A 23,791-nucleotide genomic window follows, 5' to 3' on the forward strand; every position below is an offset into this window, starting at 1 on the left:
GTTCATAACCATAATACGCTCCCCTCCTTTATTTATATAGAATTTCAGGGTTTTCAACTTACTTCATAATCCAGGGACATTACAAGCACCTCAGTTAGAAATGCTATATTTTTGCAAAGCAAAGCTTGAAACAAAAATATTTTGTGGTTAAACATTCATTAACTAGAAAATGTAACCCACACAAAAAGCACAAACCCAGAGCATATCAGATAATCAAGGTTTAATCAAGGTTTATTGTAGTATCTATTATTTAAAACTAGAAGCTAAATACATAAGAGCATCTCTCTGGTTTTGTGCTTCAAATATTTATACACGTGTTTCCAAATGCTCCAGCATTAGCATTAGGGAAATATAATTTACAGAAGGAAATATCTACATATTGCTCCTGTCAACTTCTGGGTATTTTCCCCACAATCGTTTGAAATCACTTGAAATTAGTCTTGTCAGCATCCAACCTTGACCCTAGGACAGGGTTTCTTCTCCTTAGCACTATGGACATTGTGGACTGCATAATTCTTTGTTGTGGCAGTGGCTGTCCTGGGCATTGTAGGATATTTAGCAGCATCTTTAGCCTCTACCCATAATAAGTCACTAGCATTTCTATAGGTGCCAGTAGCATGTCTCTAGATATTGCCAGATGTCCCCGGAAGAACAAAAATTTCTGACACAAAATAATGACTAAAGACATGACATCAGAGATCTATGGCACAATAAAGAGAGCTCCAACATGTATAGTGACTGGTAGCTTATGGCGTGGGGAGGGATGACAGAAAAAGAAATTAAAATACATGATTAGAAGATTCCTGAATTAAAGGAAAGAAACACTTAATTGAGAATAGAAAGGCCTGTTCACATCCTGAAGAAACACCAAGATGTAGTTTGGTAATAAACTTCAAGGATTAAAACAAAACAAAACAAAGATACAAAGGAGAAAAATATTCTGCCTCAGACTTAACCAAATAAATGCGATAAGATTATCAAAAAAAATTTCTGTTTATTTGGGTGAGTTACCAAAATGAGGCATTCTTCTTTGCTTAAGAAGTGGGGCCCATGACACAGGGGGAGACTCTACTTTGTTAGATCGCTGCTCAAATTCTGGACCACAAACTTGGGCATTGGTGGTCGTTTTCTATTCCTAGTGGATACCCCCAGTGGATTCACTCATTAGAGGTTGTCTGAATGCGTATTATTTCCCAGGAGCATGTCAATTACCCCACTCTCTTACCAACAATGCTTTTATATATGGCCGGAAGTGTCCATTTTTATCTTCAATAAATTTTAATATTTACTAAGCTTGTATCTTCACTCGTTAGGAAAGAGCAGGCTTTTGTTGATTAATTGCGCATTCCTTCTTCTTATATATTGCCTCAGTGCATGTTGCCCATTTTCCTACCATTTTCTTTATTTTTTAAGTTGGACTGCAGTTGCTCTTTGTGAACTGTCAGATGCGTTGAGAGAATGGGCTTCTCCGGAGTGTATTTTATCTTTTGAATTTGTTTCTGGTGTTTTGCTGAACCAAAGGTTTTCATTTGAACGCGTTCAAATCCTTCAGACTTCTCCTTCACAGCCTCCGGGTATCTCATCTTCCTTGGAAAGGTCTTTATATCACTCTGGGATTATGATATTCTTATACTTTCAGTATTAACATGGCTGAACCGCAACCGATGACAGGAAATCGGATGCTTCTGACCCAGTGAGCAGAAGAACCCTGGGAAAAGGATGACATTTTTTTCAAAGGGCTAAAAATATAAAACATACAGACCAAACAGCAGAAAACTGAAAATCCAAGGTCTAAGGCAGCGCTTCTTGCCTACTTGTAATTTGTGAACTGATAGAAAGGACACAGAAACATACCTTAAGGTCCACTATCAGTTATGCTGCCTTATGGTATATTATGCATGCGTGTCTGCACATGTATATACACAAAGTTGGCAAGTTAATGATGTAAATAGGCTCTTCTACATGCCTAGAAAGAGAAGAAACTCTGACTAAGCCCATAATTCTTTCCAATTTGGCATTCTTCTAAGTACCCAATACCAACATCCCATGGTATTCATCATCAACTGGGACTCTCAGATTAAACTTTTTTGATTCTGAAATTTTATAACCATCTACTCTATTCCCCCTTCTTTCCCCAATAGTCTAGTAAAAGCCCAAAATAGAGACTTTTCTAAACTACTGCTCCTGATCTCAACCCCCTACCCTACCTCCCTGGATTAAGTTCCTCTTGATTGATGGAGTTTGGTTGTCTGGATTCTGCAAGCTCAGCTGTCCCAATTTATAGTCTGGCTCCAAGCCCCACCCACTGCTGAATGACCAGGGGCAGTGTGATGTTGAACCTAAAGGTCTCTATTGTGACATACGTAGCTGGTACAAAAGAATGTTTGCTTGCCCTCTTGAAGGTCTTGAACACTGCTGGAAGCCTACTAGATATTTAATGTAATCACCATGATAATGGCTAAGATTTATTAAGCATCTGCTATGTGCTTTATGGTGCTAAGAACTTCTCATGTATTTACTCATTGAATCTTCACAAAAACCTTATGAAGTAGGTAAAATTATTATATTATCATTCCCCAATTTAGAGTATAAGTTAATGAAAGTCCCAAATAAAAATAACTCAAAAAGCCTTTTCCAAAAAAAGGGAGAGGATCCATTTGATCCATTGTAAGAAATTCTGTGATAGTTATTTATGTTAAACTTGGCTACCCCAAGCAATGAATGACACAGTGATAAAACAGACTCTTGTCTGGAGCTTTTCAAACTGTAAATGATTAATAATGTTCATTTCTTACTAAATGCCTTGAAGAAAGCAGTGCCCCTTCATGAGGGAGATAAGGTATACATAGAAAGGAGCAGAGAGTGGAATAAAAGGCAGGGTAAATCACTTTAACACTTGCAAATAAGAGAATTCACCAAGGAGGGCTTGGAGGCTGTTAAGATTTCCTCTAAGACAAGTCTCACCTTACATCACCACTGGGTATTTCCTAAGGCAGGGATTTCACCCATTCCATCTTTGGACTAGCAGTGTCTGTCTCAGGGGAATGAAGAAGAGTGGGAGGGATGATCCCATCTCTAGTCTTCACATGGACTAGAAATAAGTGTTGTGACATAAGAGCTTGTGAAATTTCTTTAATTCCCCCAATATTATCACTGTTTGGTTCATGTTCTTATACTATGCTAATTTTCCTATAGGAAAAAACAGTAAGACACTCAAAAGAAACCATTTGCTGGTTTTGAGAGGCAATAGAAAGGGTCAGGTAGATAATTCTGTATCTAGTGCCTTCATTTTCTGTTACTACATAATGAATGACTACAAACTTAGTGGTTTAACACCATAAATTCATTATCTCACAGGTTTTGTGGGTCAGGAGCCTGACATGTTTTAGCTGGGTACCCACAAAGCTGAAAACAAGATGTTGGTCATTTACATAATCATCTGGAGACCAACCAGATAAATGTCCACCACCAAGCTCCCCCAGATTGTTGGAATAATTTATTTTCTTGTGACTGTATGACTGAGGTTTCCATTTTCTTGCTAGTTGTTGGCCAGGGACTTCTCTCAGCAGCTAGAGGTTGCTCTCAGGCTCTTGTCACTTGGCCCTTTGCACAGGTAGTTTAGCATGTGACTGTTTAATCCTTCAAGACAAGCAGAATTTCTGTTTCTTTCTTTATAAATGTCCTGGCCTTTGAAGAACTCATTTGATTAGATGAGACCCATCCATGATAATCTTTCTTGTGATTAACTCAAAATCAACTTCTCTGGGACCTTAATTACGTCCACAGAATCCCTTCACCTTTATCATAGTATGCAACCTAATCATGAGAGTAAACAGCGCGAACACTAGGGGGGCAAGAATTGTGAGAGGCATCTCAAAATTCTGCCTACCATGGCTGTGGACCCAGAACTTTATTAGGGATTAGAGGATGCACCATGAGAAAGCAACTCAAATCCTTGAGGAATGCAGAGAGAAGGCATAAGGACATAAGGGAGGTGGTGGCCTGGAATGAGACAGACAAAACTGTGTTTGCCTGCCAAAGGTGTCCCTGCTGTATCTGGAATGCTTCACTAGAAGCAGAAGGAGGAGGGAGCTGCAGGAAAAGTTGAATATTTATAACTTTCAGACTAAGGTTTTCTTCTATATCTGGCCACTCATCCTAAGAAGAGGAACCACATCACTGGCTGAGCCCAGACCTAGGAGGGCAGGTTATCTTATCTTGCATTGCAACTCTGATCAACTGATAGAGTCTGCATGCAGTGTCACCTTGAGAAATATTCTGAGACTGTGTTGTGGTTCAGCAGGAAAGAGTGTTGTGCTTGATTAGCTATGTCTTTCATGAACTCTGGATGGTGAATGGAAGTATGTTGAACAAGTACTGGTTATTCATGACTTAGACTGTACACATCACCCGAAGACATCTCAACAAATATTAAAACAAAATACAAATGCTTAGGAATATACACTGTATAGAAAAGAGATGACCTTTATAAGATTGTTTTGAGGACTAAGCTCTGATTTTTATTTTATCTTGCCCAAATTCCTATCTAAGGGGTCTGGGGAGTCATGCCCTACAAACCATGAATTCTCATCAGATGGGTTTTATTTAACCCTGTATATTGTAATTTACTTTCCAATCTGACTCTGGCATAACAAGGAAGAAAATCAAAATGTTTTACCCCAGAATATATTTCCTTGCCATACCTTGAAATTGTCCTGCAAAGTCTCTCGTAAGAAAAATCCACATTCTCTAGAGAATCCCTTTTCCCCTTTGTTTTTTTTCCCCTTCCTTTCCAGATCCAGGAGACAATCAACTAAGAGCTAGGCACCCTTTTAGGTCCGATAAGAAACATTTTACAACCTGCCCTCTCTGAAGTCTGCTATCTGAGAGCTTCCTCCTCACAATAAAACTTGGTTTCCACAGTCCTTTATCTTAACCTGAACATTTCCTTTGATTCCAGATCTTCAGATAAACTCAACCAATTGTCAACCAGAAAATGTTTAAATTTACCTATAGCCTAGAAGCCTCCACATTTTTTCCCACCTTTCTGAACAAAACCAATGTATTTCTTAAATGTATTTGATGTCTCATGCCTCCCTAAAATATATAAAACCAAGCTTTACAACGAACACCTTGGGCACATGTTCTCAGGACCTCCTGAGGACTGTGTCACGGGCCATGAGCATATTTGGCTCATATTTGGCTCAGAATAAATCTCTAAAAATATTTGACAGAGTTTGACTCTTTTCATCAACAGTTTCTTTGCTTCTCATCCCCCAAACGGTCATTTTTTCTACTTAAAGTCTCCCATTGGGAGGTTGTTTACTTATAGACCCAACCCATACACGATTTCTTGGGAAATACCAGGTAAATGTAAAAATGTACAGACCTCAAAGAGTGATGAAGTCATAAAACAGAAACCCTTCAATGTTTGAAAATAGTTTTATAAGAGTGAACAGTCTATCGACTCACCATTATGCCACCAAAGCAATATGTAAATGTGTATCTTATTTCCCAGTGCTGCTTAGAAGCCACAGAAAGAAGGAGGTGCCCATATTAAAGAAAGGATTCATTGAATGACTTCCTGAAGAGTCGGATGAGCCACATCCCATTTAGCAGATAGAGAAATTCAGGGTCATGTCTGAGTCTGTAGGCCTCCACTAGATCTTCTCATTTGATCAGATCAAGTCTCCTGAGCATTTTAATATTGAGAACATTTGCAGTCCTCGTTGGAGTAATTTCTGCTTTCCCATTCCTTGGGGCTTGGCAAGAAGAAGTCACCTGATTTTTACAACTTCGTGGCATTTTCCCAATCATGAAAATGCCCTCATGTTTCTCACTCATACAACAAACAAAGGCAAGAAAGCAAATCCATCTGCAGAATAGTGCCATATGAAGCTAGATTAAAATGCTAACGGGTGAGCATGCACAGAGAAAACAGCACACTGCCGAGGGTTAAAGAAACATGGATTTCATCCAGAAAGGCCCTTTGCACCACAGTCTCTACTACCCAGCTCTGTCTGAGGGGCTGGAGACAAAGAAAGTAAGATAGAAGTGGATACCAAACTTTTATGCCTCCTAGTCCCAGTTATAGCTCCTTTCAACACTTTGGTTTGTTTTTTCTTGGAATGAGGCTATGTAAACCCTGAAGAAACAGCGCCTGGCAATGCTTTCTCACAGAAATTTCGCCCCTTATATTTCTTCCCCCTCCAACCCTTTATGTAATAGAACTACTTTGGTATAGACAATAGGTTGCAATTATCCTTCGGAACTGAGCAAGGAAAGAATGCACCAAGATGGGCACGGGAGCAAAACTAAACACATACCCTTAAAATACTAAGCAGAATGCATGCCTCTGATATTCTCATCACTCCTGAGCCAAATTATTTAGTTTATAGCTATTAGATGCATCAGGACAGTTCTTCTGATCCCTGTGCTATTCCTTGGGTATCGAATTTAGCAACAACATATTGGTGAATTAATTTCAAAGATCTTTGGGAGAAAACAGAATTGAATCCAGTGAACTCAGGGATGAATAATATCCCTGAATTTGGAAATGAAATGTGTTTCCATTAAGAAATTGCTTCAGAAATGAAGTAGAACAAGATACATAAATTCCAAGTATCTCTCTTAACAGAAAGACTTGAGAAATGTGTTTAAAGAAACATATTAATTATCTGTAGCTATTCTAAATGCTTCTAAAAACAAACAAACAAAATGTCTATGCATTGTGCCATTGTGTGTTTATTGAGTAAGCCCAAGCTCTTACTTAGTGTGCATTGATTCTTTGGTTGCCATGGCAGAGGGAATGGTTTCTGTGATATGACAGCAGTTGCCATATGTTCAGCTTCAAGCCAACTGATTCCATCACAAAAAGAAAAGAGAAAAGAAGGAGATGTGCAGCCTCACCTATTCCAAGGGTCCTAATAGGACCAAGTTGTCATATAAGCTTCTGTTCCGGGCCTGACAGTGAATACATGCCATAGCCATGTCCTTTATGCAACATATTTGCAAAAGATTTTTACATGGAAGCCACTACTCCAGTATCCCAATCAGCATCTAACTCAGATACAGTCTTCTATAAGTTAAAACATGGCCTATGAAGCGATTTTTTAAAAGATTTGTAGTCAAGAAGAGACACATTCTTTGGGGGAGGATGAGGCAACTGGAGTCGCCAATGACCTTAGAGAGCTGGAACTTGAGACACACAGAGGGAATGTGTGAATTCTAGGATCACCAATGGAATCAATAAGCTTTTACCTGTAGGGGATAAATCCTGGAAGAATTCTAGAGTTTGAAACTGTCTGGACCATTTGAAGCAGCATCTCAGAGGGTGAGTTGGGCATATTCTTGCCCAACTCTCTCTCTCCATAAATAATTCCAGGCTGAGTGTTTCATGGTCTGACTCATTGTGACTATCATGTATGTGGTTATGTTGCCAATTAGGATGCCAATATTCCCACTGTCAGAGCACTAATGAGTGTTTTTAGTATTCAAGAGATTACTTTTTGGTATTCTTCCAAGGTCCTGTGAGTAAGTTGGCTATTCACTGATAGAGAAATTTATTTTTTTCTGGAACTTTATGGTATGCATTATTAAATCCTTGCTACAACAATCTAAATGATCCTTGAGGGAGTCAGAGCCCTTCCAACTGCAAGCAAAGGACTTTTGATGTTGAGATATGGCCCCAATGGTGCTCTTCAGTAATTCCTATTTTCTTTACTATGGAAACCTGTAAGAATATCCAAACTAGCAGACTTAAGCTAGGCAATCTACACTAATAATGGTTTTGTCTTTACCATGGTTAAATTGTGTAAAAGTTGCAGATGGCAACGCTGAGCACTTTGTACATATACACAATAACAGGGCTGTTATTCTTTTATCAGGTCACCAAATCAACCAGACAGCCCACTCCACATATGGGCAAATGGCTTGAAGAGACACATTACCAAAGAATTCCCAACAGTCAAAATGTGTTTAATCTTATCCACATACATATCTCAACATATCTTAATATCCATATCCATATCTCAATAAATCAAAAATGTGTTTAATCTTATCCATATCCAGAGAAATGCAAATTAAAACTATAGAAGGATACCACTATGCACCCACCAGTTTGGCTCAAATTTAAAAGTTCAGCAACATCAAGTATTACTAAAGATGTGGGGAATTCAGAGCTCTCATATGCTGCTGGTAGGAATAAAAGTTGCTGCCGACACTTTGGAAAACAGTTGCACATTATCCAATAAAATTAAAGAAATGCAAAAATTCTTACCTAACAATTATACCCTAAGGTGTGTGTACAACTGTCTATTTACACCAATGAGGATGCTCCCAGCACCATAGCTTGTAATAGCCCCAAACAGAAATTTCCCAAATGCCTATCAGTATTATTGACAATTGGCCCAAAAATCCATTTATCATCATTGAAAATGAACAAACTCCAGTTACACTTAAGGACATAGTAAACTTGATAGGGTGGGGGGAGAGAGTTGCTATCAAGAAGAGTAGGCAGTTGGTGGCCACACAGATTTTTATTTGTTATGTGTACGTATAAGTTTATATCTGGATTTCATTTTGTTTGGTCTGGCGACAGTATTTGTATTGTCTGCCATAGTGAATGAAGTATTGGACATCTAACTGTTCTTATCAACCAGATCGTAAGCTCTTGAAGAAGAAATATATATGTGTGTGTGTGTGTGTGTGTGTGTGTGTGTGTGTGTGTGTATGTATATATGTATATATATATACACATATACATATTTCAATTTACTCTCCAGTAAGTTATATTTTCCAGTTTAAAAGAAAAATCAGTATCCAACAGGGACCATATGTTCAGCTTCAAGTCAACTGATTCCATAGCAAAAAGAGAAGAGAGCAGAAGTTGCTGTGCAGCCCTACCTATTCCAAGGGTCGTATTAGCACCAAATTGTCATATGGGCCTCTGTTATGGACCTGATAGTGAATACTTCTTGTGATAGTTTTCACTTCTTGTGAAAACTTTAACTAAAAATTTGGAATGTAATTCAAATAAATCTCAGTAGACACATAGGAATGTAGTTTTCATTTATCTATTCCAACCCTTATTGGATCTGCTTGTTTGTGTACCTAACAATTCTTTGGGGTAATGAGTGTCACAGAGACACATGTAAAGAAAAATTGACCAAAAGACAGTTCCGAGAGCTAGGGTTCTTTAGAGAGGTAAAGAAGAAGAGAAATGTTATTGCATCCTTCTTCTGTGAGGTGGCAGTAACTCGAGAGTAGAGGATCCTCGTCAAACCATGTGTTTCCTCTGATGAAGTCTTGTTATGATAATTATTATCACTCCAGAGATGTTGATAATTATATTTAGACAGTTTTTAAAGCAATATTGTATAATATTTTTCCCCATTTAACACCAGCATCAGAGCTGATGAATACTCAGTCAGAAGAAATGCAGGCCTGCAGGTTTGTCCACAAAGTGTTCCCATCAACCGTGTAAGTGAGTTTGATAATTTATACATTATATTAGGGGGGAAACACACTCTTTTGCAAAGGACTGGTTCTTGGCGCATAATCAGTTCCCATTGAATTTAAATGACTTTTGGTCCTACACCAATGCTGATAAAATACTTTCAAATGTACAGAATATTAACCAAATGTTTATATTAAACAACTCCTTTCAGGTGAAAATGCGCTCGGCGAAGCATAGCTCCCTGGAGCAAGTTAGTGAATATTAATGTTTAGCACATTATAAGGCTCTACAAGTACTCTGATGTTGGAGGCCAAGGGGGAGATAAACGAGCAAGGTTGGTGCGTGGGCCCTGCCAGGGGAAGGTACAATCACATTGGACATAACCTCACCGAGATGGAAATGGAGGTTGAAATACATGCAATAGGGGCTGCTAGGAACTAGGAGGCAGATATGGACTGAGAAGGAGAGTACCAGGCTCTCCTGCGTGTTCCCCACTCAATTCCCCCGAAGACCTAGTCTGGTTTCAGACCTGCCCAGGGTCCCATCAGCAGAGAGATTTATGGGGCATGCCTCATAATTAATACCAGCCAATTTCCAGTTAATCATGGCCCTCGATTTCAGGTAAGTGAAGGCTGCTTATCATGAGAAGCATTCGGACTTAGTTAAGTGCTACAGTATTTCAAATCTGCCAAAGCACACCGGCCATTTCCAATGATCATTGTTTATCTGCAGGTTTCAGGAAATCATATAAATATGCAACTCACAGTGCATATACACATATTTCAGGGGGGAAGACAGCTGTTATCAACCAGGCTGAAGGTCAAAACGAAAATTCTTTTGCATATCTCTTGGTGGGTAAAAGGCCAGACTGGGGACCTTGAGACCCAGGGACAATGCCCAGCTCTGAATAGGACATCGGTGGTATTTCAGTGAGCTAGCTCACATCTTCACTTCTGTTCCTCCATCCATAAAATGAGGATATGAATATTTCAGGTAACCAAGGTGAAGTGCTTTAAACAGCTTGGAAGACCAATGCTAAATAAGCATATGGTATTATTTTTTAGTCTTGTGTTAATAATACTTTAGAATTCAATGCATGTTCAACATTTTGTTGTTGTGGTTATAGTTTAATTTTATATTTTAGTAGCTACTTTTAAAATTAGTAAGGCTAAATCTTCTCAGATTTATTGAAGTTCCAAATGAATAATGATAAAGGGAAACCAAAGTTATTATTCCCATTTTACAGATAAAATAATATCAGGCCTGAAAAATCTCTCTCTAGAAGATGTTGTATGCATCTTATAGCCTCTGGAATGGCTCTCATATAAATCATCCTAAAATATTGGTTCTAATTTTCAAACACTATTTTCAGAAAAGCAGAGTACAGAATTTTCCATAAAATTCAATTCTAACCTCTCTACCTGTATCCATATCTTTTTTTTTTTTTTTTTTTTTTTGAGACTGAGTCTCACTCTGTTGCCCAGGCTGGAGTGCAATGGTACGATCTTGGCTCACTGCAACCTCCATCTCCCAGATTCAAGTGATTCTCCCTGCCTCAGCCTTCTGAGTAGCTGAGATTACAAGCACCCACCACCACACCCAGCTAATTTTTGTATTTTTACTAGAGACATGAATTCGCCATGTTGACCAGGCTGGTCTCGAACTCCTGACCTAGGGTGATCCGCACAGGCGTGAGCCACCGCACCTGGCCTCATATCTATTGAAGACTTGTAAACTTGCAGATCCTGACACCATAGAACCTGGTCACACAGTAGCCATGCTTGGCACATGAAATAAATGTTAGGGCCTAGAGAGGGTAAGTGACCAGCTCAAAATCAACACAGCTAGGACCTGAGCCAGGATTACAACCCCCATTCGAGTGTCTTCCTTACTATGTTAAACCCCGTAGAGTTTGTTCTCAATCAAGAATCCACCATGGCTTCATGCTTTGCTTGATTGCAAGGCAGACACAGGACAACCTTCAGCAAATTCTGATTGAGTAGCAATGTGAAAGCTGGAGTAGAAAAACAAATAAGTATAAGATATTCTCCCTTCTTCTTAAAGAGTTTACAACTTGGTTGAGAAAAATGTTAGGTGTTCAATACTTCATTCACTATGGGAGACATTACAAATACTGTCACCAGGCCAAACAAAATGAAATCCAAACATGTGGGAGTAGACTAGTGATTTCCAATGTATGTTTTGAAAAATAGTCCCACAAGATTGGCCATGCCTAAGTAAGTAAGTAAATAAAAGTATAAATACCTTTTATGATTAAATAAGTTTGAGGCATCACACACATTGTAGAGTCACAAGACGCAAATGGATTCAAGTGCTCTGAGATGTCCCACAGTAAAGGAACCTATTGAATAATTTCCAGTTTTGTGTTTCTCAGACTCATAAAGCCTTTTCAAAGCTTTCAATTGACTTGGCCTTTTCTTACTTCATCTATGGAATTCTAACCTCTAACTGAAAGTGTAACTATAATTTTATGTGCTTCATGTCCTGGTCATCTTTTAATCATTGGCTCTTAATACAATGTCTAGCATGTGGTCCCTTGCATCTATTTGTTGAATGAATACATAGCCTGCTTGGTGCTGTGATGGAGAACAGGATCACTAAGTCATGTTCTTTGTCCTCTAGGACGGCTCTCTCAAATGTTACTGTCTATATGAATCCACCTTGGGATATTAGTAAAATGAGTTTCTGATACAGAAGATCTAGAAAGCGCCTGAAATGCTGATATTCTGTCTCCCAGGTAAATCCAATATTCCCAGCCCCAGGGTCACTCTTTAAGGCCATAGTAGATATGAGCTCTCACTCTAGCAAGAGATGTATGCCATGAAAAGATGTGACACTTGTCACCATAGTTCAAGAGCAGTTCTGGCCAGGCACGGTGGCTCACGCCTGCAATCCCAGCACTTTGGGAGGCTGAGATGGGCGGATCACGAGGTCAGGAGATCGAGACCATCCTGGCCCTCATAGTGAAACCCCATCTCTACTAAAATACAAAAAAAAAAAAAAAAAGAAAGAAAGAAAATGAGCCAGGCATGGTGGCACGTGCCTGTAGTCCCAGCTACTCAGGAGGCTGAGGCAGGGGAATCGCTTGAACCCAGGAGGCGGAGGTTGCAGTGAGCCAAGATAGCATCTCTGCACTCCAGCCTGGCAATAGAGTGAGATTCCATCTCAAAAAAAAAAAAAAAGGAAAAAAAAAGTACAGTTCTATGGGAAGACCAGGGTAGACATGATTTATTCTGCCTAGGCGGGTAGGGAGACAGTGGAGGAGGATCTTGTGAATGTCATGGGAGGGGTGCTTTGAGATGAGCTTTAAAGAGTGACTGGCATTTTGCCAGGCAGAGGAAGGAAGGACATACAGGTTAGTCAACAGCATGAACTAAGTGGCAGAGCAAAGTACTGTGTCCTACACGTTCAGGAAGCAGTGAGGTAGGAGCACGTAGTACTGAGGGAGTCAAGAGATAAATTGTAGAAGGGACATTGAACTGAATTGTGTTATGGTTTGGATATTTGTCCCCTCCAAATATCACATTGAAATTTGATCCCCAGTGTTAGAGATGGGACATAATGGGAGGTGTTTGGGCCATGGGGGTGGATCCCTCATTAATGACTTGGTGTGGTCCCTGTGGTAATGAGGGAATCCTTACTTCTTTAGTTCATGAGAGAGCTGAGTGTTTATAAGAGCATGGCATCCCTTTCCTCTCTCTCTTGCTCCCTCTCTCACCATGCTACACACCGGCTCCTCTTCCTCCTCTACCATGATTGGAAGCTTCCTAAGGTCCTCACCAGAAGCAGATGCTGGTGCCTTGCTTCTAATACAGCCATACAGAACCATTTTTCTTTATAAATTACCCAGCCTCAGGTATTCCTTCATAGCAACACAAAATGAACTAAGACAGCATTGCATTTTAAAAGTCCAAATGTTGAATAGTAGAATTCCAGAAATAATAAACTGGCAGGAAAGAAACTTTGATAAGTGGGTAGAAATCTTCTTGCTGCCCTTTCATGAAGCCATGTGGCCTGCATGGACACTATCTGCTCCTGGATTTAGCCCTGCTTTCAAATTTTAATGGGATGTCAGTGAGGTTTTCAAAATGATTGATAAGACATAATCAACCCCTTTCACTGGTTGAAGATTATGCTGTTTTTAAAAAGCACTTAGCATTTCAAGGGTTGTTTTATAGGCATCTGCACAAACCTATGAAGCAACAAACTTTATTTAGCAGTTATCGACAGACTACTACTGCTTACAGGGTTGTATTCTTCCATTCTGTTTCAGATTTTAGCCCAGCTGTTCTGGGATCTTTTATTTCAAAAACTGGAAAACCAGGGCTATTAATAGAGTCAGGCAGCTAATTTAAATCTGATAATGTGCTGACACTTGGCTGCATACTTCAGCACAGATGCCCATGTGTGCAATGTGTATTTATTTCTGTACAAATGTGTACATGCATATGTATAAATAACAGCAAATACTATGAAGTCAACACTTATTATTTAACAGGACCACCTGGGAGTTATCCTGTGCCTCATAAATAGAACACTATTTGACATGTAAAAATCTTCTACAAGGTGATTGAAGCCTGCAGGTTTAAGGGTCAGAGTTATTATAAGTGGGAGCATTACAGACACACACAGTACTTCTTCTGGATGGAAGAGAGACCCATAGAAGACCAGAACATTTTAGCTAAACTTTACTTTCCTCATATGCCTTATACTGTAACCAAATTACTTACTATTGTCCATACATAGTATATAGTTTTCTTCATCTTGCTTATGTTATTTTCTCTGTGAATTAGATAAGAATCTGGGCTTTAAAATTAGCTTTGGGTTCAAGTTTCAGCTTTGCCAAATTCTAGCTATGCGATTTGGAGCAAATTACTTACTAAACCAAGTCTGGCCTCTCATCTGTACAATGGAGCCATTCATTTTATTTACATTGAAGGGCTTTTATGAGGATCAAATGAGATAATGCAAGTAAACACTCAGCACAATGTACAAATCTGATTCATGGTGACAGAAATCAGAGTGTTTTTCTGGAGTGAAGGGTCATGAGGTTTCACTTGGATAGGGACATAAGGAAACTAAAGCAATAAATATCTTGTATCTTAATGGGGGTGGTGGTTACACAGATATATTTTCCCCATCTAATATATAGGTGTGATGATGATGGTGGTGGTTATTATTATTATTCTCCCATCTCCATATCTAAATGCTATTTATTTTTCAAAGTTTAGCTCAGGAACCATTTTTTTTTTCATGTAGTTTTCACAGTCTCCGTAATTGGAAGAGATCTCTTTTACTTTGAACTTATTCTTTGCATTTCTAAGATACAGTCTTCCTGGTGTTAAGATTTAGCTCTTTGTATGTGTCTCTTACCTCCACTAGCTTGCCTGTCCTTGGTAAGGTGTCTCTGGATGGTCTTGGAATCCTGCATAGTATCTAGTAGAGATCTATTTACTCTTTATCCTCCCATTAAATCATTGTGCAAAGGGTGAATTCAGTGTAACCCTACATAGAACTGCCTTGAACTTCATTCTAGTACCTCAATACATCCAAAGCCTTCTCCAGGGTTTCCACAAGCAAAGTTTCCTCCTGGCTTTGGCTATAATTTCCATGTATGTTGACTCTGTTACCTTCATCCAGTCATAAAATTCTATGCTACTTTTTATAATTTACACAAGCACATATATTCACCTTAGGCACGTACGTGCGAAACAAACTTTACTGAAGAGGTGGAGAGTAGGGTTGCAAAGATGTGGGACTCATGCCACAGCAGTGCCAAGAGCAATGAGCAAAGCCAGCCTGTTCTCACACATCTCCCAGCCTCTCTGCCACCAGAGGCTTTATGTAGCTCTTCAGCCTTGTGCTGCACCCAGATTTCCACCATCACCCTGTCTCTTCTCTGTTCCTCTTTGTCTTTTCTCCTTCCTCTCAGGAACAGAAACAAATTCCTTTCTTTGTTGCAGGTGGAGGAGTTCAGCTATTACCTTGACTTTGCCGAAGTCCTAGGCACTCCCATGCCCTCAGAGTCTCATTTTGAATCCAGGCACTTAGGGATGCTATTTTTCCACATCAAACAGCTTCCTCCCAGCCAAAGAATTCTGGTGACAGTAGTGAAGATAATTTTCACTCCTGCTTACAGAATGACAAAGCAAAAGCAAAGAGGAGAAGAATGAAGTAAAGACAACCAAAGGAAAAGACTGATGGCTCCTTAAGAATGATCTTGATAAAGGAATGGTGGCTGAGGGGTCCATCTCCTAAACCACCCACCTTACTGACTCCCTAGAGCAATGCCATACAGAAAGCTGCACCTTGAGGGGAAGACACAAGAATCCTGGAGTGGAAAAAAATTGGGTAATGATGACAGCCTTCGAGGTCTTGAGAGTAAAGCAGAAGCAAAAAAAAAGTGTTATTTTTATCTTTTGAAGATGGTTCCCTCTTAAGACTTTTGCGAATGATTAAGATTTCAATTATGTTCCAGGAAAAAAATAAGATTTTTGCTTGACAAAAAAAATTTTTGTCTAGAACAGGTGGGAAGGAAGAGATAGTTTAGCCACATCCAAGAGACCTGTAAATTGGGTACAGTGAAGTGAATGGTGTACCAGTCATAAAAGAATGTTAACTGGAGAAGTCTCTGCTGTCTTCCTGTAACTGAGGGGGGTGTAACCATCCTTGTGGAAGCGTCCACTTTTATTGAAGATTGGCTAAATAAATCTGTGCCTACTGAAACTCAAGCCATTTCAAATTGGTCTGTACTTATTTAATTTATTAAATCTTTAATACATAATATTGAGCACATATTATGTTATTGACACTGAGTACAATAGAGAATGCAGTCAGGAAATGAAGCAACCTTAAAGACCAGAGGCTGTCAACCTTGACAGCATATTAGAATCACCTGGAGAAATTTTATGACCTTGATTCCTAAATCACACTTAAGTTCAATTAGTCAGAAGCTAGGGGTGGTACCTAGCCATAAGTAGTTTTTTTTGTATGTGTTTTTTGTTGCTGTTGTTTTTAATTGCAACTCAGTATTGAGAAAAAAAAAACATGGAGATAAGAGATGACTACATAGCCGTTCACTGTCATGATGGAAGATTGTCTAACAAGCCTACCCAAAGACTATCTAATTCTTTAGGGGAATGTACCTTCATTTATTTTACTATTTAGTAGGATATTTACTTAGGATATTACACAACTCTGTAAAAGCAGATGTTGCCTTGCAGAACAAACAGAGGCCCAAGCTTATTCAAATAGAATAGAGCTTGTGTTTGTGTAATTCTAACAAGTTCTTGGGTGATGCTGACACGTGCTGAAGTTTGACAACTATTGGAAAAGTCTGATAGCAATGCAATAGATTCTGGTACAATAACAATGCAAATACTTTTTTCACTAGTAGAGCTGCAAATAATTTCTGTCTAATTCCAAGATTACAGGGTTTTTGCTCCATAGAACATTAACCAGTTTTGTATCTCACCTAGCAATCTTATTTCAGCATTCTTTCAGGACCTATGTCTACTTGGTCTTTCTAGTTCTCTTTGAACCAGTTGAAACTTATCCTGCTGGCTCCCTCCTTAAATGAATTAAATAACTTTTTGGCAAGTAGTCATTGTACATTTGTATGAGATTCAAGCTTTCAACTTTTGAAAATTATACTTTGACACCAGGTGATACCAATGTGCATCCAAGATTGAGATTCACTGCTCTAGAGAGAAGCCAAAATCCTGGAAGGCATCCAAAGAGAAACCACTGTTTTCTCTATCCCAAGCAGAATCATATAATTATTCTTGAAAACTTTTATGAGTCCCACCTGATAACAATAAAAATTAATATTTACTGAGTGCTTACTAGTGCCAAGCACGCTATTCTAAGACCTTTACACCCATGATTAAGTCCTTTAATCATTACACAAGCTTATAAGAGAGGTTCTCTCATCTGCATACCAATTTCATAGATGAGAGAACTGAGGCACAAAAGTTTAAGCCACTTGTGTATACTGACACTGTTGCTAAGTGACAGAGCTTGAGTTCATACCTAGGAAGTACTGCCTGTGCCCTTCAGGGCTAAGACATACCGTACTTCAGGGATTGAGGAGATCTACCTTTAGAGTTATTTATCCAGATTCATAGACACCCACAACTGGATACCTGAATTACTGAAACAATCAAAGCCAGCCAAAAATGCATACTCTTTTTTGTCTTTTTTTTAACTTAGATTTTTAAATTTTTCATTTTTATGGATACATAGTAGATGTATATATTTATGGAGTACATGACATATTTTGATACAGGCATACAATATGTAATGATCATATCAGGGTAAATGGCATATCCATCACCTCAACCATTTATCATTTGTTTGGGTTAAAATTTTTTAAGTTATAATCTTTCTGTTATGTTAAAATATACAATAAATTATTGTTGACTGTAGTCACCCTGTTGTGCTATCCAAATACTAGGTCTTACTGATTCTATCTATGTTTTTGCACCCACTAGCCATTCCTACTTTTTCCTCCTCTCCCTGCTCCCCTTCCCAGCCTCTGGTAACCATCATTCTACCCTCTGTCTCCATGGGTTCAATTAACATTTGTTTTAACAAAAATTTACACTCAAAGTTGGTTTCTTTGGCAGGGCTATCACGTATCCACTTATTCTTTATCAAACCCTCATATTAGGAATCATCTTCATTAGGGCAGGTGACTAACATCTCCGCATGAGAGTATATAAGTAAATTAGGATGTAGATTCAATAGAAACCCTGATTTGGTATCCAAGAAGAGACATTCAACACGGTTAGAAATTTGAAACTCTTGTCATGTAGTTCTCTGGATTCCCAAAGTGCAAAAATAAAAACAGATAAATAAAAGGGAGAAATATTTTAAATTTCTTCCTAATTTAAACTCATACCCAAATCGACATTTGGGCAGGTCCATCAAAAAGCACTTGGGGAGAAATCATCTGTGCACTAAGTGCTTTTTATACCATGAGCAAAAGTCTGAATTGTAAGTAATATTGGCAAGAACAAGCTATAAGTTAAGATGCAAATCCAAATCGAGTGTGCGGTGTTCTGGCTTCAAGCCTGGTAATTGAATTTCCAGTTTATTATCCTTAATGTTTTTTAATGTGAGTTTGCAATTCAAGGCAAAATGGAAAGCTGCTCCTCCAAAGCTTTCCCCTGAAGCACTTCCAGGAACAATTTCTTTTCAGAGTCAAGAAATGGTTTTGGGTCAGGAGTGCACTTTAACTTTTTCAAACTCTAGAAAACTCTATTCCGGGGAGACACTAAACCATGGGTCCACTGAAGGATACTCATCTGGAGACTAGGGATTCTGGAGTCCGAACCTGGCACTGGAGCTTATTATAAAAAATGGAAAAGCTGGGCTGGGCGAGGTGGCTCACGCCTATAATCCCAGCACTTTGGGAGGCCGAGGCCGGCGGATCACGAGGTCAGGAGATAGAGACCATCCTGGCTAACACGGTGAAACCCCGTCTCTACTAAAAATACAAAAAATTATCAGGGCGTGGTGGCGGGCTCCTGTAGTCACAGCTACTCGGGAGGCTGAGGCAGGAGAATGGCGTGAACCCAGGAGGCAAAACTTGCAGTGAGCCGAGATCGCGCCACTGCACTCCAGCCTGGGCGACATAGTGAGACTACGCCTCAAAAAAAAAAAAAAATTGAAAAGCTAAATGCTGTGAGCTGCTTAAGAAGCCCTGTCACAGCGGAGAGTTCCACACAACATGGGCTGACACTCGGTGCCATAGAAAGTAGATGGGGAATGTTTCACATGAAATCTGCTGCTTCAGTATGTGTACTTGGTTATTCTTCAACCGCCTGAGCCTTTTGGCTATAACAGCTAAGCCATACTTGGCGCACACTCTCACATTTTTTTTTCCCTAAAACTAGCCCTGAACAAGGCTGAGGGACTCAATCCCCTTGAAATAGCCTTCTTAATGAAGAAAGAGCTTTAAAGGTGTTAGCTAGCTTATTGTAATAATAATGATGATAATAATAACAAAAACAATAACTATAAACATAATGAAGGTCTGCCATTTTGCAAGCTGTATGCAGCTTTATGCATTATTTATTACGCATTATTGTTATTCATTATTTATTACGTAATTTATCTCTCATAATAGGCTTAAAAGGTAGATTATTGCCCTCAATTTTATATAGGGAAACTGAAGTTCGGAGAATTCAAGTAATTTTCCCCAGGTGATAGAACTAGAATGGCGGCGTGGCCAGGATGCAAACCCAAATTTGTCTGCTCTGAAGCTTGAACCCTTTATTACTAGGCTAAGGGCACAAGCTCCTCCAGTATCTTCTATTGGACCATATACTTCTGTCTTTCTTTAAACATTATTTAAATATTTGTGTGTATGTGTGTGTGTGTGTTGAATGTGTGTGTAGAGAAGAATATAAAGAAAAAGGGCAAACGTACCATTAGCCCATTACCCATCCATGTACATGGCATGAAAATCCAAGAGTAGATTAGTATAAGTTGAAAATTAAAAACTTTCCCCAAGCTCTGTCACCAGAGGTAACCACTTGTATATTTCTTATATATCCTACCAAGAAAAAGTATTCTGTTTCTCATATATACATCTGTATATCTGATTTTTAACAATCATTTAATATTTCATTAATTTATTTAACTAGTTCTCACATATGTTCATTTAAATTACGTCTTTTTGGCATTTAAAATCTCGAGTACAATAAACACTCATATATATAGTTTGGTGAAGGAACATACATTATTTTTAAACTTCTGTAGATATTCCCTCTAAAGGCATTGTGTTAATTCACTATCCCACTTTCAGACCATGAGTAGTCCTCTTTACTGTATCCATTTACTTTCATCCCCATGCCACTTGATTCTCCCACCAAGTTTATAAAGTAAGTAGAGTAGGGATGTTGATATGGTTTGGATTTGTGTCCTCACCCAGATCTCATGCCAAATTGTAATCCCCAATAATAGAGGAGGGGCCTGGTGGGAGGTGATTGGATCACGAGGGTGGATTTCCCCCTTGCCATTTTTGTGACAATGAGTGAGTTCTCATGAGATCTGGTTGCTTAAAAGTGAGTAGCACCTCCCCCTTCTCTCTCTTCCTCTTGCTCTGGCCATGAGAAAACATGCTTTCTTCCTCTTCACATTCTGCCATGATTGTAAGTTTCTTAAGGCCTCCCCAGGCATGCTTCCTGTACAGCCTGTGGAACCATAAGCTAATTAAACCTCTTTTCTTTATAAATTATCCAGTCTCAGGTAGTTCTTTATAACAGTGTATGAACAGACTAATACAGATATAATCCTTGTTTCTAGCATAAGTCAAGGCTAGAACCGAGATGTTCTAAGTACAGAAACTTTTCCTTGAACAAATTATACTTTAAAGCTTCAAAGATAAATAAAAGATCAATACCCTCTGTTTTTACCTCTGACAGATGAAGAGAACAAATATAACTGGGCTTTGTGGTTTAGAGCTCTGGGATAAGAACTTTAACCATGTTTAAAACCCACTAAAATACCACTTATTTAGAGTTGGGATAGATCCATGACTTTCTATTGTTCAAAGGCATTTTCCTTTGTAATAATTCCATGGAAAGAAAAATGACTTGAAAGCCACATTTATTAAAAAGCCCAAAGGCATTTGAACATCAATTTACATTTTTCTTTTTTATAGGAAAAAAAGTAGTTAAGTGTAAATGAATGTCAAACATGTGGTTTACATTTTCTTTAAGATGCATGTGGGCTTTAAAACCTAATGAAAATACTTTAGAAAGAACATATTCCACAATATGGTAAGTGTAAGATAGGTAGGAAATGTGGAGCACGTCAACATTCAGGTTGGGTCTTGCATAAGTCCTGCAGATAAAACAGGAGGAGATCTTTGGTCCTCTCACATGAGATTTCAAAGAGGGGGGTGTCAGGTCTCTGGACCTAGGTTTCACCCCAGCGTAGGCCTATGATTTGAGGGGCTGGGAGACATTCCATAGTTAAGGAAGCTTTTACAATTATTCCTCACCCATTTAATGAACACCTATTCTGTGCTGAAAATTAGAGATGTGAAGACAAATGAAAGACAAACTTGTTTTCAAGACCTTGAATTCCTAGTAAGGAAACCAGATATGGAAAGAGACAAACAACAATAAATGTGATTAGTGAAGTATAACATAGTGTCAGGGCAGTACAAACAGGGGCATTCACACTTGCGGGGGTCATGAGGGAAGATGTCCTGAAGAAGGAGACCTGGAGGATGAGTAGGAGTAGCTGAGCAGAGTTTGTCAAGGACATTGCAGCACAGAGACTAGCACGCACAGAGCAGAGGCATGGGAAGCTTGGCGCTGCAGGGAATGCTGGTACAGCCGTCCTCATCTATGAGTTTACCCTCAGTGATGTCAGTTACCTGGGGTCAACTGCGGTCCGAAAATGCTAAACGGAAAAATCCAGAAATAAGCAATTCATAAATTTTGAATTTTGCACCATTCTGGGTAGCATGATGAAATCTCACACCATCCCATTTTGTTCCCATTCCAAACATAAATCATTCCTTTGTTCAGCATATCCACTTTATATACTCTAACTGCCCATTATTGTATAAGGGAAAATGTAGTGCTCTAGATAGGATTCTGGACTATTGGTGGTTTCAGGCATCCACTGGGGGTCTTCGAACATATCCTCTCCGGCCGGGTAAGGGGGAACTTCTGTAGTTCCATTTGATTACAATGGAAGATGGACTGTGGAGGGAAGAATAGTTAGCAAGAAGGCTAAAGAGGCAAGCCAGGTCAGGTTAAAGTGTTTGAACTCCATTGGGAAGAGACATTAAATGGTTTTAAAAATAACTTTTTTGAGTTTTATTTATTTATTTATTTATTTATTTATTTATTTATTTATTTATTATTATTTTTGAGATGGAGTCTTGCTCTATTGCCCAGGCTGGAGTGCAATGGCGTGATCTCAGCTCACTGCAACCTCCACCTCCCAGGTTCAAGTGATTCTCATGCCTCAGCCTCTCAAGTAGCTGGGATTACAGGCACATGTCACCACACCCAGCTAATTTTTGTTTAGTAGAGACTGGATTTCACCATGTTGTCCAGGCTGGTCTCAAACTCCTGACCTCAAGTAATCCACCTGCCTCAGCCTCTCAAAGTGCTGGGAATACAGGCGTGAGCCACTATGCCCGGACCTTTTTTGTGTTTTAGAAAGACTAATCTGGACTATGGGTGGAAAACAGATGAGAGACAGGTAGTACTGAGGACAAGAAAATCAGTTAGTATGTTGTTGCTAAAATTCCATGAGAAATTATGTACTCAAACCAAGGGTTTAGCAGTGGAGGTAAAGAGAAGTGGATGGAACCAAAAGGTTAATGCTGTGGTGTCTAAGTGTGGCCAAAGGCAGAAGAAGAGTTACGGTGACCTCTGAATTTTTGACATGAGCTTGAAAGTTCAACCTCAGGAATGAACACTTAGATGGCAGTTAGATTAAGAGGCAATGCAGTTTGTTGAAAAAGACACTGACTTTAATTCATTTAATTTTCTTCTAAACATGAATAGAAGGCAATAGAAACGAGACATATTAATGACTATCCACATAACGTTTTAAAGGAATCTGATAATCTTTTAAGATTAAGTGTTAAGGACTCCCAGAAGACTCTGCAATATAAAAGAAGGAATTTTTCACAACAATTACATTTGGCAATATCATGCTCTGGAGAAGATGTAAGGTTATAAAAATTCATATTCACTGTTGGTAATGTATGTTGGTATAACCCAGAGATTTGACTTTTCTCTGTAAGCCCTAGAGAAAGTCCAGTGTATCACACATGTACAAGAATGTTTGTTGAATCACTATAGTAAAGAAAAAACCAGATATGATTTAAATGTTTATCAAAAAATGAGTGGATAAATAAATTGTGGTGTATTCATATAATAAATATTCTTCTGATATTTAAACGAGTAAACTAGGCTTAAATTTATAAAAATGGATATTTTTGAAACAAATGTTTTTAAAACATAACTCTTAAAAACCTAATTTTAATTAAAAAATGAGTCAGGGAATGATATGTACAGATGATATTAAAACGATCCATTGTATTATTTATAGGCATTTATGTTAATAGTAAATACATTAGTAGTATACACATAAAGCATGCCCAAGGTTGCCTGCTTTAGGGAGAAGAGAAAAATGAAGGATGAATATAAAAGGGCTTGAAAAATGTCTGGTTTTCTAAACTCTTTATTTAGTTTCTCAACCTTTGTACCACTGACATTTTGGACCAAATAATTTTTGTCATGGAGGAAAGCCTTGTGCATGGCAGGATACTTA

The 23,791-nt window shown here is 38.7% G+C and overlaps 2 long non-coding RNA genes across 2 annotated transcripts; one reads left to right on the top strand and one right to left on the bottom strand.

Annotated features, from left to right (window-relative positions):
* Positions 1 to 206: 206 nt before the first annotated feature.
* Positions 207 to 2,251, bottom strand: LINC00919 (long intergenic non-protein coding RNA 919). The gene is made up of 3 exons (NR_038233.1): positions 2,208 to 2,251; positions 1,855 to 1,966; positions 207 to 1,708 (listed from the first exon to the last, which is right to left on the bottom strand). It is a non-coding gene; the product is annotated as a long intergenic non-protein coding RNA 919 (long non-coding RNA).
* A 171-nt stretch (positions 2,252 to 2,422) lies between these two features.
* On the top strand, positions 2,423 to 16,209 carry LINC02180 (long intergenic non-protein coding RNA 2180). Its single transcript, NR_104655.1, has 3 exons — positions 2,423 to 2,548; positions 12,101 to 12,215; positions 15,442 to 16,209. It is a non-coding gene; the product is annotated as a long intergenic non-protein coding RNA 2180 (long non-coding RNA).
* The last annotated feature ends 7,582 nt before the right edge of the window (positions 16,210 to 23,791 follow it).

This window comes from Homo sapiens, chromosome 16 (assembly GCF_000001405.40).
Source record: "Homo sapiens chromosome 16, GRCh38.p14 Primary Assembly".
NCBI lineage: Eukaryota > Metazoa > Chordata > Mammalia > Primates > Hominidae > Homo > Homo sapiens.